We start from the raw sequence: 14,703 nt of genomic DNA, 5'->3' as shown, positions 1-14,703 counted from the left end.
GCAGTGGCATTTACAACTAACTGATCACAACCAATTATAGATTCCTTATTTTGTTTATTGTGAGGCAGAGTCTGACTCTGTCACCCAGGATGGAGTACAGTGCATAGCTCACTGCAGTCTTGACCTCCCAGGCTAAACCAATCATTCCACTTCACCCTCCCAAGTAGCTGAGACCACAGGCACACAACACCACAACCAGCTGATTGTTGTACTGTTTGTATAGACTGGATCTCACTATGTTGCCCAGACTGGTCTTGAATTCCTGAGCTCAAGCAGTCCTCCCACCTCAGCCTCCCAAAGTACTGGGATTACAGGCGTGAGGTACCTCGCCCAGCCCCAGTTACAGATTTCTTTGTTCCTTCTCTCTCCCACTGCTTAACTTGATTAGCCTTTAAAAAAGAAATAAATAAAAATTTTTAAAAATAAAATGAAACCAGAGATTTTTGTTTCATTTGAATTGTTTGAGTGCTGTGTCTGCTTTCACACTGCTGATAAAGACATGCCCAAGACTGGGAAGAAAAAGAGGTTTAATTGGACTTACAAAGTTCCACACGGCTGGGGAGGCCTCAGAATCATGGTAGGAGGCGAAAGGCACTTCTTACATGGTGGCAGCAAGAGAAAATGAGGAAGATGCAAAAGTGGAAACCCCTGATAAAACCGTCAGATCTCGTAGGACTTATTCACTACCACGAGAACAGTATGGGGAAAACTGCCCCCATGATTCAAATTACCTCCCACAACACGTGGGAATTGTGGAGTGGAAGTACAATTCAAGATGATATTTGGGTGGGGATACAGAGCCAAACCATGTCAAGTGCCCATTTGTTTCTTTGGATTGTTGAGCCATTTTAAGAATTACTGAAATATTAGTTTTAAAGTTATTATGGAAAGTAATACATTTATGAGTAATGAAATCTCCCCCACATTATTGGGTTGAACTCTTTGACAAGAATGAATTGTTATGCTTCGGGCTGACTGTTTTACCTTCTCCCTATCTAATTGCCTTCCCACTGCAGGGCCCAGAGAGTAAGGAAGGAGCAACATCTGCTTCCAGAAGCTGCAGCTTACACACCTCACGAGAGCTAGAGGCTTTTTCTATTTTGATTTTTTTTGTCTACGCCTTGGTACTATTTGGCTAGGGAAACAAGTCTTTGTGGCAGTTGTGCCATATTTGTATCTCTTTCATTTGGGCCAGAATTTTAAATGAACACTTCCTTCTGGTGGTTAGTGATTGTGTTAAGAAGTCCAAGACTGCTAGGCATCCTGGCTGATGCCTGTAATCCCAGCACTTTGGGAGGCTGAGGCGTGCAGATCAGGAGGTCAGGAGTTTGAGACCAGCCTGGCCAACATGGTGAAACCCCGTCTCTACTAAAGATACAAAAAATTAGCCAGGCATGGTGGCTCATACCTATAATCCCAGCTACTCAAGAGGTGAAGCAGGAGAATCACTTGAACGCGGGAGGCAGAGGTTGCAGTGAGTCGAGATTGCACCACTGCACTCCAGCCTGGGCAACAGGGCAAGACTCCATCTCAAAAAAAAAAAAGTCCAGAAGTCCAGGGTGGCCGGCCATAGTGGCTCATGCCTATAATTCCAAAACTTTGGGAGGCCGAGGTGGGTGGATCACCTGAGGTCGGGAGTTCGAGACCAGCCAGAGCAACATGGCAAAACCCCATCTCTACTAAAAATACAAAAATTAGCCAGGCATGGTGGCGTACGCCTGTTAGTCCCAGCTACTCGAGAGGCTGAGGCAAGAGAATCACTTGAACCCAGGAGGCAGAGGTTACAGTGAGCTAAGATTGTGCTACTGGTCTCCAGCCTGGGCGACAGAGTGAGACTCCATCTCAAAAAAAAAAAAAAAAAAAAAAAAAAAAAAAGTCCAAGACTGAAAGTAACAAAAAGAGAGTGTTCCAGCCATATATTTGGGCTTTTAATTTTTTTTCTCATGGTGATGACACTATACCTTCTGCAAAATATTTGTATTTAAGCCCCCGGTCATGTTCCAGTTAGACAGTTTTTAAGCCTCTAAAGGTAATTTTTTATTGTATATTCGGTAAGTTATGGCATATCCGTATTGATTCACTGAACTCAATACGTTATGGTCATCATTATCTCCAATACCTGGTTGTCACCAAAAACAATAAGTAGTACTGAATTTCTCACCCCACACACAATTCTAGTCCTTATGCTTAACTCCCACTACGAATGTCTACTACTTGATTAATAACTTCTACAGATTCTTAGAAGGACTTATTATGGGAAAAGACTATACTTTTATGTTTTTATTTTTGCTTGTTAATATTTCCTTAATTTAAAAAATGATTGCCGGGTGTGGTGGCCCATGCCTGTAATCTCAGCACTTTGGAAGGCTGAGGCAGGTGGATCACTTTTTGAGGTCAGGAGTTCGAGATCAGCCTGACCAACATGTGTTTTGTTTTGTTTTTTGTTTTGAGACGGAGTCTCACTCTTGTTGCCCAGGCTGGAGTGCAGTGGCATGATCTCGGCTCACTGCAACCTCTGCCTCCCAGGTTCAAGTGATTCTCCTGCCTCAGCCTCCCAAGTAGCTGGGATTACAGGTGCCTGCCACCACATCCGGCTAATTTTTTTGTATTTTTAGTAGAGATGGGTTTTCACCCTGTTAGCCAGGCTGGTCTTGAACTCCTGACCTCCGGTGATCCGCCTGCCTCAGACATGTGCAGTTTTAACAGAGATTAAGGCAAGACCATATCCCTCTCTCACACTGGGTATGTGCCTCCTGGTGGGCAGTTGTACGCAAGAGGCGGTTATTGTCAGACCTCTGAGCCCAAGCTAAGCCATCATATCCCCAGTGACCTGCACGTATATATCCAGATGGCCTGAAGCAACTGAAGATCCACAGAAGTGAAAATAGCCTTAACTGATGACATTCCACCATTGTGATTTTTTTCTGCCCCACCCTAACTGATCAATTTACTTTGTAATCTCCCCCACCCTTAAGTTTCTTTATAATCTCCCCAACCTTAAGAAGTTTCTTTGTAATTCTCTCCACCCTTGAGAATGCACTTTGTGAGACCCACCCCCTGCCGCCAAAACATTGCTCTTAACTCCACCACCTATCCCAAAACCTATAAGAACCAATGATAATCCCACCACCTTTTGCTGACTCTTTCGGACTCAGCCCGCCTGCACCCAGGTGAAATAAACAGCCTTGTTGCTCACACAAAGTCTGTTTGGTGGACTCTCTTCACACAGATACGTGAAATAGTTATGGGCTCCCCTGGGATCTCCACAATGTGGAAATGGTCCCCCGAGAGTTGTGCTTCATGTGTCTGGGGCCCAGAGTTGAATGGGAGGTTGCTGGTGGGAGGTGAGAAACAAGTAGCCAGGCTCTTCTGAGTTTCCAAAATAGCCTTACAGGTAAGCTGTTATTACTCATATGCACAATTTTAGTTGAGAGGTGCCACAAGACTCACTTGTCTGGAAGTACTTTGGCCAACCTGTGCTTCCTCCTAACCTGTCTGGTTTAAATTTCTTAGCTGTAAGTGACTATTTGCCTCAGAAGGTCTTTATCAAAGTGTATTTAAGTTACCCGTCTAGGGAGAAAAATTTCTACCTTGTAGAGGCTTCCATGTTTTTAGCTGTTGAAGATTCTGGTAGCTGGCTTGCTGTAGCACTCTGGGGAGTTTCTCAAGCAATAGGGGTTGAGGATATGGTTTTTCTGATTCTGGGTATATATTCCAGTCTTCTCCAAGGGCATAGAACCATGAATCAGTCTGGAAAATCACCTTGGCTGACACTGAGACTGCCAGGGACAGAGTAGATGTTTCATAAATATTTACTGCATGTTTAGTTGAGTAGATGAGTGCTTTACTGCAGCCGTTACAGCTCTAGGTTGCATAGAACAGAGACCAGGGCCAGGTGCTGTGCCTCATGCCTGTAATCCCAGGACTTCGGGAAGTCCACGTGGGAGGATCCCTTGAGCCCAGGAGTTCAAGACTAGTCTTGAAAACATAGTAGAACCCCATTTCTACAAAAAAAATAGCTGCACATGGTGGCACGGGCCTATAATCCCAGCTACATGGGAGGTTGAAGTGGAAGGATAGCTTGAACCCAGGAGGTTGAGGCTGCAGTGAGCTATGTTCATGGCACTGCACTCGAGCCTGGGTGGCAGAGTGAGACCCTGTCTCTTAAGAAAAAAGAAAAAAGAACAAAGATGAACTCTAGTCATATAAAGCAAATAGAGAAATAGGACAGGAATTCACAGAATTAAGGCTGGTGATTCTGTAGAAAGTTGCAGAATCAAGGTAGCTCCAGACACTTGGCACAGAACACACAGGAAATTCGACTTGGCAAAAACCTGGCCCTAGCACTGCCACAGGCTCAACCTCCAGCATTCCCTCCGACCCAAGATTCAAACTCTTGGGAGTTTAAGGGTCTGAATTGGTGAGTTGAAATAATCTTCCCAGAGGTGGTACAAGAAGGATCTGGGCTCCTCAACTCCTATGATGAGAGGCTACAATAGAGGTACATATTAAAAATTGCTCCCCACACAAGTCCTCACACAATGAGGAATTTGCTCCAAAAGAATATGGTGGTACTGATAGGAGGGTGGGAAGAAAGATCCTGTGCTGTGACCAAGGGCAAATGTCATCCACACTGACACTGAAAGGAGAAATGGGGTGGGGTTTGGGTTTGATTGCTGCTGAGAAGAAGGGGATAGTTTCAGAGGAAGGAGACAAAAGTGACTGTCACAGTCCCTGGGAGGCTGGCCAGGCACCAGGAGGAAAATCCTGGGAAGAGGGAGAACAGAACCTGGACGATGGGGACCAGAGAATAGATATTTCTTGGTGTTCCCAGGCTAACATGGGAGCTCAAAAAATGTTAAATTAATGACAAATTGAAATCTAAAACATGCTGTTGACATGCAAGGGACTGAAGTACCTTCTGCCTGGCTAGTCACTCCTGCTCCTGAGGCTTTCCCATTCACTCCAGAGCAGGTCACCGCAGGCTCTCCCCCAGTGAGGGCTGTGAGGGGGAATTCCTTCCCTTCCAGAGTCAGAAGAAGGGGGAATATCTATTTCCATAATCTCCATGGAGTTAGCCTTGGGCTTTCCCAGACCTCAGCACACAGGTGTGACTTTGCCTTCATATGCCAAGGAAACCTGTTTTTCTTTGTGTGTGTTCACATAAGGAATCAATTCTCAATTTCCGCAAATTATTTGCATCTTCTCTAGAAGAATCTCTCTTCTTCCTCTCCCCCATGAAGAGAAGCAGCATGGCCCAAGAGCTTGGGTTCTGGGTGTCCTACAAATCTGGGTTTGAATATCTTTCCCTTATTTAATGGCTGTGTGACTTTGTCAAATATTACTGAGCCTGCTTCATTGGTGAAATGGGGAAAATAATGTCTTTTTTGTTTGTTTGTTTGTTGTTTGTTTTGAGACAGAGTCTCTCTCTGTCACCCAGCTGGAGTGCAATGGCACAGTCTCTGCTCACTGCAGCTTTGACCTCCTGGGCTCAAGGGATCCTCCCACTTTAGCCTCCCAAGTAGCTGGGACTACAGGGGCATGCCACCCCATCTGGCTACTTTTCGTATCTCTTGTAGAGACAGGGTCTGACTATGTTGCCCAGCCTGGTCTCGAACTCCTGGGCTCAAGCAATCACTTCGGCTTCCCAAAGTGCTGGGATTTTTTTTTTTTTTTAAGAGTCAGTCTCATTCTGTTCCCTAGGCTGGAGTGCAGTGGTCCTATCATGGATCACTGCAACCTCAAACTCCTGGACTCAAGCGATCTTCCCACCTCAGCCTACTGAGTAGTTGGGATACAGGCACATGTCACCATGCCCAGCTTGTATAATGCCTGTCTTGCAGGGAGGGGCACTGCATGAAAAAGTATTAATATGTGAAGTGCCAAGCACATAAAAAAACTGCAGCTATCATGATTCTGGCCATTGGGCAGGGTGTCCCAAACATGGACCCATTAAAAAAATTCAAAATGCCAGCTACCCTCCCACCTCAGGCTTTTTACATAACCACTAGTTGCTATCTCTTTATCAAAAATAATTTGTTAGCCTATAGACAGCCCCAAGAATAAGGCATATTATCTAGTGCAGGGGTCCCCAACCCCCATGCTGTGGGCTGGTACCAGTCTGTGGTCTGCTAGGAACTCTTGATTTCGAGCAATCTGCCTATCTTGGCCTTCAAAAGTGCTGCGATCACAGGCATGAGCCACCGAGCCCGGCCAAAAGAACCCTTATTTATTTATTTATTTATTTTTGAGACGGAGTCTTGCTCTGTCACCCAGGCTGGAGTGCAGTGGCATGATCTCGGCTTACTGCAACCTCGGCCTCCTGGGTTCAAGCGATTCTCCTGCCCTAGCCTCTGCAGTAGCTAGGATTACAGGTGCATGCCACTATGCCCGGCTGATTTTTGTATTTTTAGTAGAGACGGGGTTTCACCATGTTGGCCAGGCTGGTCTCAAACTCCTGACCTCAAATGATCTGCCCACCTCGGCCTCCCAAAGTGCTGGGATTACAGGCTTGCGCCACCGTGCCCGGCCTTGTTTTTCTCTTTTTTTTGAGACAAGAGTCTCACTCTGTTGCTCAATTCACTGCAACCTCCCACCTCCCAGGTTCAGGCGATTCTTCCTGCCTCAGCCTCCCAAGCAGCTGGGACCACAGGCACACAACACCATGCTCGGCTAATTTTTTGTATTTTAGTAGAGACGGGGTTCACCGTATTGTCCAGGCTGGTCTCGAACTCTTGGCCTCCAGTGATCTGCCCACCTGGGCCTCTCCCAAAGTGCTGGGATTACAGGCCTGAGACTCCCGGCCAAGAACCATTTTTTATTTTATTATTTTTCTTTTTTTCTCACGCTTAACTTGTGGCTTTTAATTTTTTAATGCTCAACTTTTCTAATTTTCCCACAATTAACATGTATTATGTGTATATAAAATAGGGGGAAATAACCATCAGATCCATTCTGCCCTGATTTTAAAATCTATTTTTTTATGAGACGGAGTTTTGCTCTGTTGCCCAGGCTGCAGTGCGGTGCCACGAGCTCGGCTCACTGAGATCAACCTCCGCCTCCCGGGTTCAAGTGATTCTCCTGTCTCAGCCTCCTGAGTAGCTGGGGTTACAGGCGCCCGCCACCACGTCCAGCAAATTTTTTTAGTAAAGACGGGGTTTCACCATGTTGGCCAGGCTGGTCTCAAACTCCTGACCTCAGGCGATCCGCCGGCCTTGGCCTCCCAGTGTTGGGATTACAGGCGTGAGCCACCGTGCCCAGCCCATAACAGATTTATGAACAACTTAGCACTTGAAGATTATAAATGAGCTGAGGTTTTAGGAATGAATGAAAATTTGCTCCCAGGACAGATAAAGCATTCCAGGAAGAGAAAATTGTGTGTTACAGCTTGAAATAACTAAGTGGGCAGAAAAATGTTTCTGTACTTGAAAAATTGAGACCCGACTTTGTATAGAAAGTACTTCAAGGTACCACAATCTGTTACCACCAGTGAGCATTTCCCATCCGGTTGCCATAGTGAAAGCTTGTCAAGGAAGCAGGTTTGGAAAATTTTAAAAAGGGATGTTTGTAGAAAATTATCAGAGGTCTCCAGGGCTTCATGAAACACTTACAACAGAACTCAAGCCCTGCTTCAACAGAACGCTTCACTTTCCTCAAAACCTTGCAAAGGCCAGGCGCAGTGGCTCACGCCTGTAATCCCAGCACTTTGGTAGGCCGAGGTGAGCGGATCACAAGGTCAGGAGTTGCAGACCAGGCTGGCCAAAATGGTGAAACCCCGTCTCTACTAAAAATACAAAATAAATAAATAAATAAATAAATAAAAATTAGCCGGGCGTGGTGGCGGGCGCCTGTAATCCCAGCTACTCCGGAGGCTGAGACAGGAGGATCGCTTGAACCTGGGAGACGGAGGTTGCGGTGACCTGAGATCGCGCCACTGCACGCCAGCCTGGGCAACAAGAGGGAAACTCCGTCTCAAAAAGAAAAAAAAAAAACTTGCAAGTATTACCTTTTGCTGAATGTGTTACTCAACCTGCTGAAAGTTAACAATTTATAGAGCTCTGATCTTTCCGGGAGAAAACAGACCCAATAATAACTGGCAAGGCAGAGGCCCAGAAGGAGCAGGTCAGACTACGCCTCCAATTTCTTTTGAGTTTCGTTGGCTTTAGGATCGCCGTGCCTACTTCAAGTGTTCACTTTCCCCTTGCCTTTCTCTTTGTCTCTCTCTTCACCAGCTGCCCCTGCTTCCTGGGTCTCCTGGCTTAAGCAGCTGACCAGGTCCTCCGCGGGCTTGCGTGTCCTCCCACCCCCGGTTCCGCCTCCAGCTGCAGCTCCGGGAGCCCTCTAGGTTGACAAGAGGGGCGAGGCGATGGCTAGCGGAGGGGCGGGCGTCGCTAGCTGAGAGACTGGTTGGCCGCGGGCGCGGCGGCGGCGCAGGCGCACTGGGTTCGCCGCGCCGAACTGCAGCCATGGAGCAGGCACCTCCGGACCCCGAGCGGCAGCTCCAGCCGGCGCCCTTGGAGCCGCTGGGCTCCCCAGACGCTGGGCTGGGGGCTGCGGTCGGCAAGGAAGCGGAGGGGGCCGGAGAAGAGAGCTCTGGGGTCGACACGGTGAGGAGAAGGGGCGGCAGAGCCCTCATGGCCTGTGTGGTGGCCTAGCGGGCCGGGCTGGGCTGGGCTGGGCTGGGCTGGGCCGGGCCGGGCCAGTGGGCTCGGCCGAGGAGGCCCAGCAGTGAGGGGGAGCGAGGTGGAAAGGCGGGGTCCGCAGGTGCAGTGAGAGGAGGCTCAGTGGAAAAACAGGGTGCTGGGTGTGGGGCGAGCGCCAGGCGCTGCGGGTGACTGAGGGAAGTGTCGAGACTGCGAAGGGGAGGGAAAGGGACCCGGGGGGGCGCCCCCGCAGGCGTGGGGGTCTGGGCCCCGGATGGGCGAGGCTGGAGGAGGGGGTTTTCAGTGGTCGCGTAGCTGGGAGATCTGGACCGTGAGAAGAACGCTGATGTTTCAGCCAGTTGCTAAGGGGTTTTGCTGGGGAGTAGCTTAAAGGGACACAGTGGGGAGTGGGCAACAGTGCTTGAGAAGGAAGGGAATGGGGGACTAGAGTGAGGTGCAGGTCAGGGCCAATAAGGGTGGTTGGCCTGGTGCTGCCATCAGGAAATTGAAGAAAATGTCAGCTTCAAGAAAAGGTACAAATGAGAAAACATTTTTTAGACTCCTCATTTGGCTGTAATTTCTTTGTTTTGGGGGAAGTGCTGTGTTTCCCATTGGAGACTTATTGATAACCCATGTACTTTTTGAAGACCCTTTAGTAATTAGTGATTTTCATTTGCTTGAGGAAAAGGGGAAAAATGTATCATCTTATATTTGTAAGTGCTTTCATTACAAAGTGTTTGCATATACAATTCAAGATTTGTAGACCTGCTTATATTGAAACCTTTAAGAAACTAACTGCAGTGCTCCACATCAGACCACCCTGCCCAAAGTCTCCTTTTGTGTGCATTGCTCACACAGCTCACTTCACCCTCGACCCCCCAGGCTCAAACAATCCTCCTGCCTCAGCCTCCTGAGTAGCTAGGACTACAGGCACACACCACCACGCACGGCTAAATTAATTAATTAATTTATTTATTTATTTATTTTGAGACATAGTCTTTGTCACCCAGGCTGGAATGCAGTGGCACGATCTCGGCTCACTGCAACCTCTGCCTCCCAGGTTCAGGCGATTCTCATCCCTCAGCTACCTGAGTAGCTGGGGTTACAGATGGGCGCCACCACTCCCAGCTAAATTTTTTTTTTTTTTTAGTTTTTAGTAAGGATGGAGTTTTGCCATGTTGGTCAGGCTGGTCTCGAACTTCTGACTTCTAGTGATCCACCCTCCTCGGCCTCCCAAGGTGCTGGGATTACAGGCGTGAGCCATCATGCCCAGCCAAATTTTTGTATTTTTTGTAGAGATGGGTTTTCACCATGTTACCCAGGCTGGTCTGCAACTCCTGGGCTCATGCCCACCTGGGCCTCACAATAGTGCTGGGATTATAGGTGTGAGCCATGGTGCCCGGCCTGAAAGACTTTTAAGTTTAGAGACCAGCTAAGCAGGGACTTCAGGATTTGAAAGTTTTGCCTGCTGTGGAACATACCTGGGTATATAAGGTAGCATGAAGACTTTTTTGGATGTGCTTTTTTTTTCTTTGAGACAGGTTCTCACTCTGTCTCCCAGGCTGGAGTGCAGTGGCACAATCATGGCTCACTGCAACCTTGACCTCCTGGCCTCAAGCGAGCCTCCTGCCTCAGCCTCCTGAGTAGCTGGGACTACAGATGCATGCCACCACACCTGGCTAAGTTTTGGGGTTTTTTTTGTAAAGATGAGGTATCTCTGTGTTGCCCAGACTTGCCTTGAACTTTTGGGTTCAAGCTGTCCTCCTGCCTCAGCCTTCTGAGTAGCTGGGGTTACAGGTACACACCACCACACCCTGCCATTAGGTATTTAATTAATATGAAATTGCAACTAGAATATAAAATCTGTTTATGTTAATTTAAAAGGCATTATATATGTCTTTTATTAATTGAAAGAACACTATGTATATGTAGTTCTAAATATTTGAAAACCCAGGGATGCTATCATGCAGTATAAGTTGTAGTTACATACTACTTCCTGACATTTTTATTCTTTTTTTTTGAGCAGTCTCTTGACCTGTCACCCAGGCTGGAGTGCAGTGGCGTGATCTCGGGTCACTGCAGACCTCTGCCTCCCAGGCTCAAGCGATTCTCATGCCTCAGCCTCCTGAGTAGCTGGGATTACAGGTGTGTGCCACCATGCCCAGCTAATTTTTGTGTTTTTAGTAGAGTTGGGGTTTCATCATGTTCGCCAGGCTGGTCTCGAACTCCTGACCTCAGGCGATCCGCCTGCCTCAGCCTCCTAAAGTGCTGGGATTACAGACATGAGCCACTGCCCTCGGCCTATGTGGTTTCTTAAAACAACTCCCTAATTTAGTAATTCATAAAGAGGCACAAGCCATTTGGGCAAATATTTCAGAATTACTAGGTGTTTAAACAAACATACATTCAGTGCATTCCTTCCCCTTCCCCTCCTCTCCCCTCAAAGAGAAAATCAAACTAAAAACCCGTCCTTTGAAGGTCTTCACATCCCTTCACTTCTCTCCATACTCTCTCTCACTCAGTCTGTCTTCAGTTGAAAATTACTGTAATGTTTTTATGGCCTCATTGTAGCTGTTACTGATAGGAATTTGGTCTCACCAGAAAAGTAAGTTAGTTTTGCGTGTGCTGTGCACAGTGGGGCTCTACTTTTCATTTAATTCCCAAAATTACTTCCAATAGATGGGTAAATGGAACCAGCCAGAGGCTCATAGAGAAGTAATTTGACCATGGTCACAAGCTAGTCAGTAGCATGGCTGGGATTTGAATCTAGGTTCACCTGGCATTGAAATCAGTGCTTCTTCCATTAAGCCATTTTGCTTCATTAAAAAAAAAGTTTAAAATAGTCTTGTACATTGTTTCAATACTGAATTTTAAAGTTTTTAGTGTAGTTAACACTAAGTTGTAATTTTTTTAGACTAGTCAAGTGCAGTAGTGAGAAGGGGGGAAACAGTAGAACAAAGAGTTTGATCTGTAACTGATTTGTGAAATTGAGATAACTTACTATCTTCAGACCAGCCTAAGTTGTAATTTTGGAAAGGAAAAAAAGGTTTGAAAGATGTGTTGATTTATCCATTTTTTTACTACAAAGATGTCTAGGCAAATAGTGTTCAGAGATGAAAAAACAGCTTGCTTAACCACCATTTTTTTTCTTTTTTGAGACAGAATCTTGCTCTTTGGCCCCAGCTGGAGTGCAGTAGCAGGATCCTGGCTCACTGCAAACTCTGCCTCCTGCGTTCAAGTGATTCTTGTGCCTCAGCCTCCCGAGTAGCTGTGGTTAAAGGCATGTGCCTCTACACCTGACTAATTTTTGTATTTTTAGTAAAGAGGGGGTTTCACCATGTTGGCCAGGCTGGTCTCGGACTCCTGACCTCAAGTGATCCACCCACCTCAGCCTCCCAAAGTGCTGGGATTACAGGCGTGAGCCGCTGTGCCCGGCCCAGCCTTATTTTTGACTGCAGATTTTAAGAGGGAGAGTAATTTATACCAATTATCCTACCCCAAGAGGTTGTGGAAACTGCACCGCCAAAGAGTCACAAGACTCTTCTGGTTTTAACACCACTGATCAGGATTCTTTAAACTCTATGTAAGCTCTTTTTCTGTAGTTTTTTAAAGCTATAGTCAGTTCTATTTAAAATAATTTGGAAAATGGAAAATATGAGAAGGGAATTCATTCTCTAAGAAAGTAGTAATTAGCCCGAGCAGAAGGAGAGGAAATAGCAAGGGAGTGGAGGACAGAGTAGTTTTTTAGATTCCATTGAGTTGGCAGTTAACAGACAGGTATTTGCCAGAGAAAAACCATTTACAGTATTTGCCAGAGAAAACCCATTACCTGAGGAATTCATAAGTGATTTTTAGGGAGAGTGCTCTAGACCTGGGAATGCTGATGGAGCAGAGTGATTGAGCAGCTGGTGGTTAAAAATTCCCGTGCACATTGACTACCTTCACTGATTGGCAGCAGAGAACTAAATGGAGTAGACCAGATTGTCGGTAAGGTTTGAGGCATTCTGTTGGTAAGGATAACATTAAAAAGGAAGATAAAGATTATAGGCATAATTACAGAATTCATCACTTTAGCAGCAGATGATAAAATCATACTCACTAATTTTTTATTGATTGAGAAGAGGTCTCACTTTGTTGTCCAGGTTGGTCTCAAACTCCTGGGCTCAAGTGATCCTCCCATTTCACCTCCCAAAGCACCAGGATTACAAGAGTGAGCCACAGCACCCAGCCCCAAGAACTTTTAAAAACCATTTTCTACCTCAGTGGCTCTCAGATTTTTTTGAAGGTGATTCACAGTACAAAATACATTTTCTTTTTTTTTTTTTTTTTTTGAGGCCAAGTCTTGCACTGTTGCCCAGGCTGGAGTGCAATGGCATGATCATGGCTCACTGCAGCCTTGACCTACTGGTCTCAAGCAGTCCTCCCACCTCAGCCTCTGGAGTAGCTGGAACTACAGGCATACACCACAATACCTGACTAATTTCTTCTATTTTTTTTGTAGAGACAAGATCTCCCTATGTTGCCCAGGCTGGTCTCAAACATCTGGGCTCCAGTGATCCTCCCACCTCAGCCCCCCAAATTGCTGGGATTACAGGCGTGAGTCACCATGCCCGACCCAAAAATATATATATATATATATTTTTTGAGACAGAGTCTCCCTCTGTCGCCCAGATTGGAGTGCTGTGGCATAATCTCGGCTCACTTCAGCCTTCATCTCCCGGGTTCAAGCGATTCTCCTGCCCAAGCCTCCTGAGTAGCTGGGACTATAGGCACACGCCACCACGCCTGGCTAATTTTTGTATTTTTTTTTAGTAGAGATGGGGTTTTGCCATTTTGGCCAGCCTGGTCTCGAACTCTTGGCCTCAAGCAGTCCTCCTGCCTTGGCCTCTCAAAGCAAAATACACTTTTACATCATAATCAGCGTACACATACTTTAATATGTGATTGTTGTTTCAGGAAACAATACTTAGCCATTACTGCATGCAACACTTTCTGATATTTTTCTATATTTTTAAATTAAAAAGAAGCATTGGGCTGGATGCAGTGGCTCACACTTATAATCTCAGGACTTTAGGAGGCTGAGGCCCATGCCTTGAGACCAGTATTGGGAATGTAGGGAGACCCAGTCTACAAAAAATAAAAACATTAGCCTAGTGTGGTGACCTGTGCCTTTGGTCCCAGCTGCTCAGGAGGCTGAGGTGGGAGCAAGAACCAGGGAGGTTGAGGCTGCAGTGAGCCATGATCATGTCACTGTACTCCAGTCTGGGTGACAGAGCAAGACCTTGTGTCAAAAAAAGTTTTGGAGGCCAGGTACAGTGGCTCACACCTGTAATCCCAGCACTTTGGGAGGCTGAGGCAGGCGGATCACCTGAGGTCGGGAGTTTGAGACCAGCCTGGGCAACATTGTGAAAGCCCAGCTGTACTAGAAATATGAAAATTAGCCAGGCATGGTGGCACATGCCTGTAATCCTAGCTACTTGGGAGGCTAAGGCAGGAGAATCGCTTGAACCTAGGAGGTGGAGGTTGCAGTGAGCTGTGATCATGCCACTGCACTCCACCCTATGCAATAGAGCGAGACTCGGTCTCAAAAAAAAAAAAAAAAAAAAGTGTTGGTCACAACCCACCAAATTAATTTCATGGACCATGAATGTGTTACTCAGTTTGGAACACTGTTCAAACTTAACATATTGTTGTATTTAAAAATTAATGTTTTCTGAATAGCTCTGCTGTTATTTTAAAAGTATTTTTATAGAAAAAAGCACAAGAGAACTGGTCATATGTTATAACCCTATTTTTCTTAGTTATTGCTTTGGATTGAATGTTTCTGTCTCCCCAAAATTCATATGTTGAAACCTAATCCCATTGTGATGGTGTTTGGTGGAAGGGCCTTTGGAAGGTGATTAGATCATGAGGATGGAGGCTTCGTGAGTGGGATTAGTGCCCTTTAAAAAAAAAAAAAAATCCAGAAGTCTCCTTTTTTCCAGCCATATGAAGATACAGTGAAACACAGCTGTCTGTGAACCAGGAAGCAGACCCTAGCGGAATCTGCCAGTTCCTTGAT

The 14,703-nt window shown here is 46.2% G+C and overlaps 1 protein-coding gene across 3 annotated transcripts in view, besides 3 other annotated features; it reads left to right on the top strand.

Moving 5' to 3' along the window:
* Positions 8,141-8,260: an enhancer, noted in NCBI's record as "active region_20431". NCBI's record gives its function as "activates an Ori minimal core promoter by ATAC-STARR-seq in GM12878 lymphoblastoid cells {active_cell/tissue: GM12878}" and the evidence as "EXISTENCE:reporter gene assay evidence [ECO:0000049][PMID:35858748]".
* Positions 8,421-8,570: a silencer, noted in NCBI's record as "silent region_14667". NCBI's record gives its function as "represses an Ori minimal core promoter by ATAC-STARR-seq in GM12878 lymphoblastoid cells {active_cell/tissue: GM12878}" and the evidence as "EXISTENCE:reporter gene assay evidence [ECO:0000049][PMID:35858748]".
* SNX4 (sorting nexin 4) overlaps positions 8,436-14,703 on the top strand; it is a 73,553-nt gene continuing 67,285 nt past the window's right edge. For all 3 annotated transcript variants that reach the window (NR_073435.2, NM_003794.4, XM_017007414.3), the window contains exon 1: positions 8,436-8,606. Coding sequence is in view for 2 of the 3 variants with exons in the window: in NM_003794.4 (NP_003785.1) it covers positions 8,466-8,606 (141 nt within the window). In the remaining variant the exon portion in view is untranslated. The remainder of the gene's footprint in view (positions 8,607-14,703) is intronic.
* Positions 8,664-9,165: an enhancer, noted in NCBI's record as "H3K27ac hESC enhancer chr3:125238317-125238818 (GRCh37/hg19 assembly coordinates)". NCBI's record gives its function as "activates a minimal SCP1, AML or CMV promoter by ChIP-STARR-seq in naive H9 embryonic stem cells {active_cell/tissue: H9 hESC(naive)}" and the evidence as "EXISTENCE:reporter gene assay evidence [ECO:0000049][PMID:30033119]".

This window comes from Homo sapiens, chromosome 3, assembly GCF_000001405.40.
Source record: "Homo sapiens chromosome 3, GRCh38.p14 Primary Assembly".
In the NCBI taxonomy this organism is placed as follows: domain Eukaryota; kingdom Metazoa; phylum Chordata; class Mammalia; order Primates; family Hominidae; genus Homo; species Homo sapiens.
Note: the sequence above shows the minus strand (reverse complement) of the source record. Positions and strands in the feature narration are given on the sequence as shown.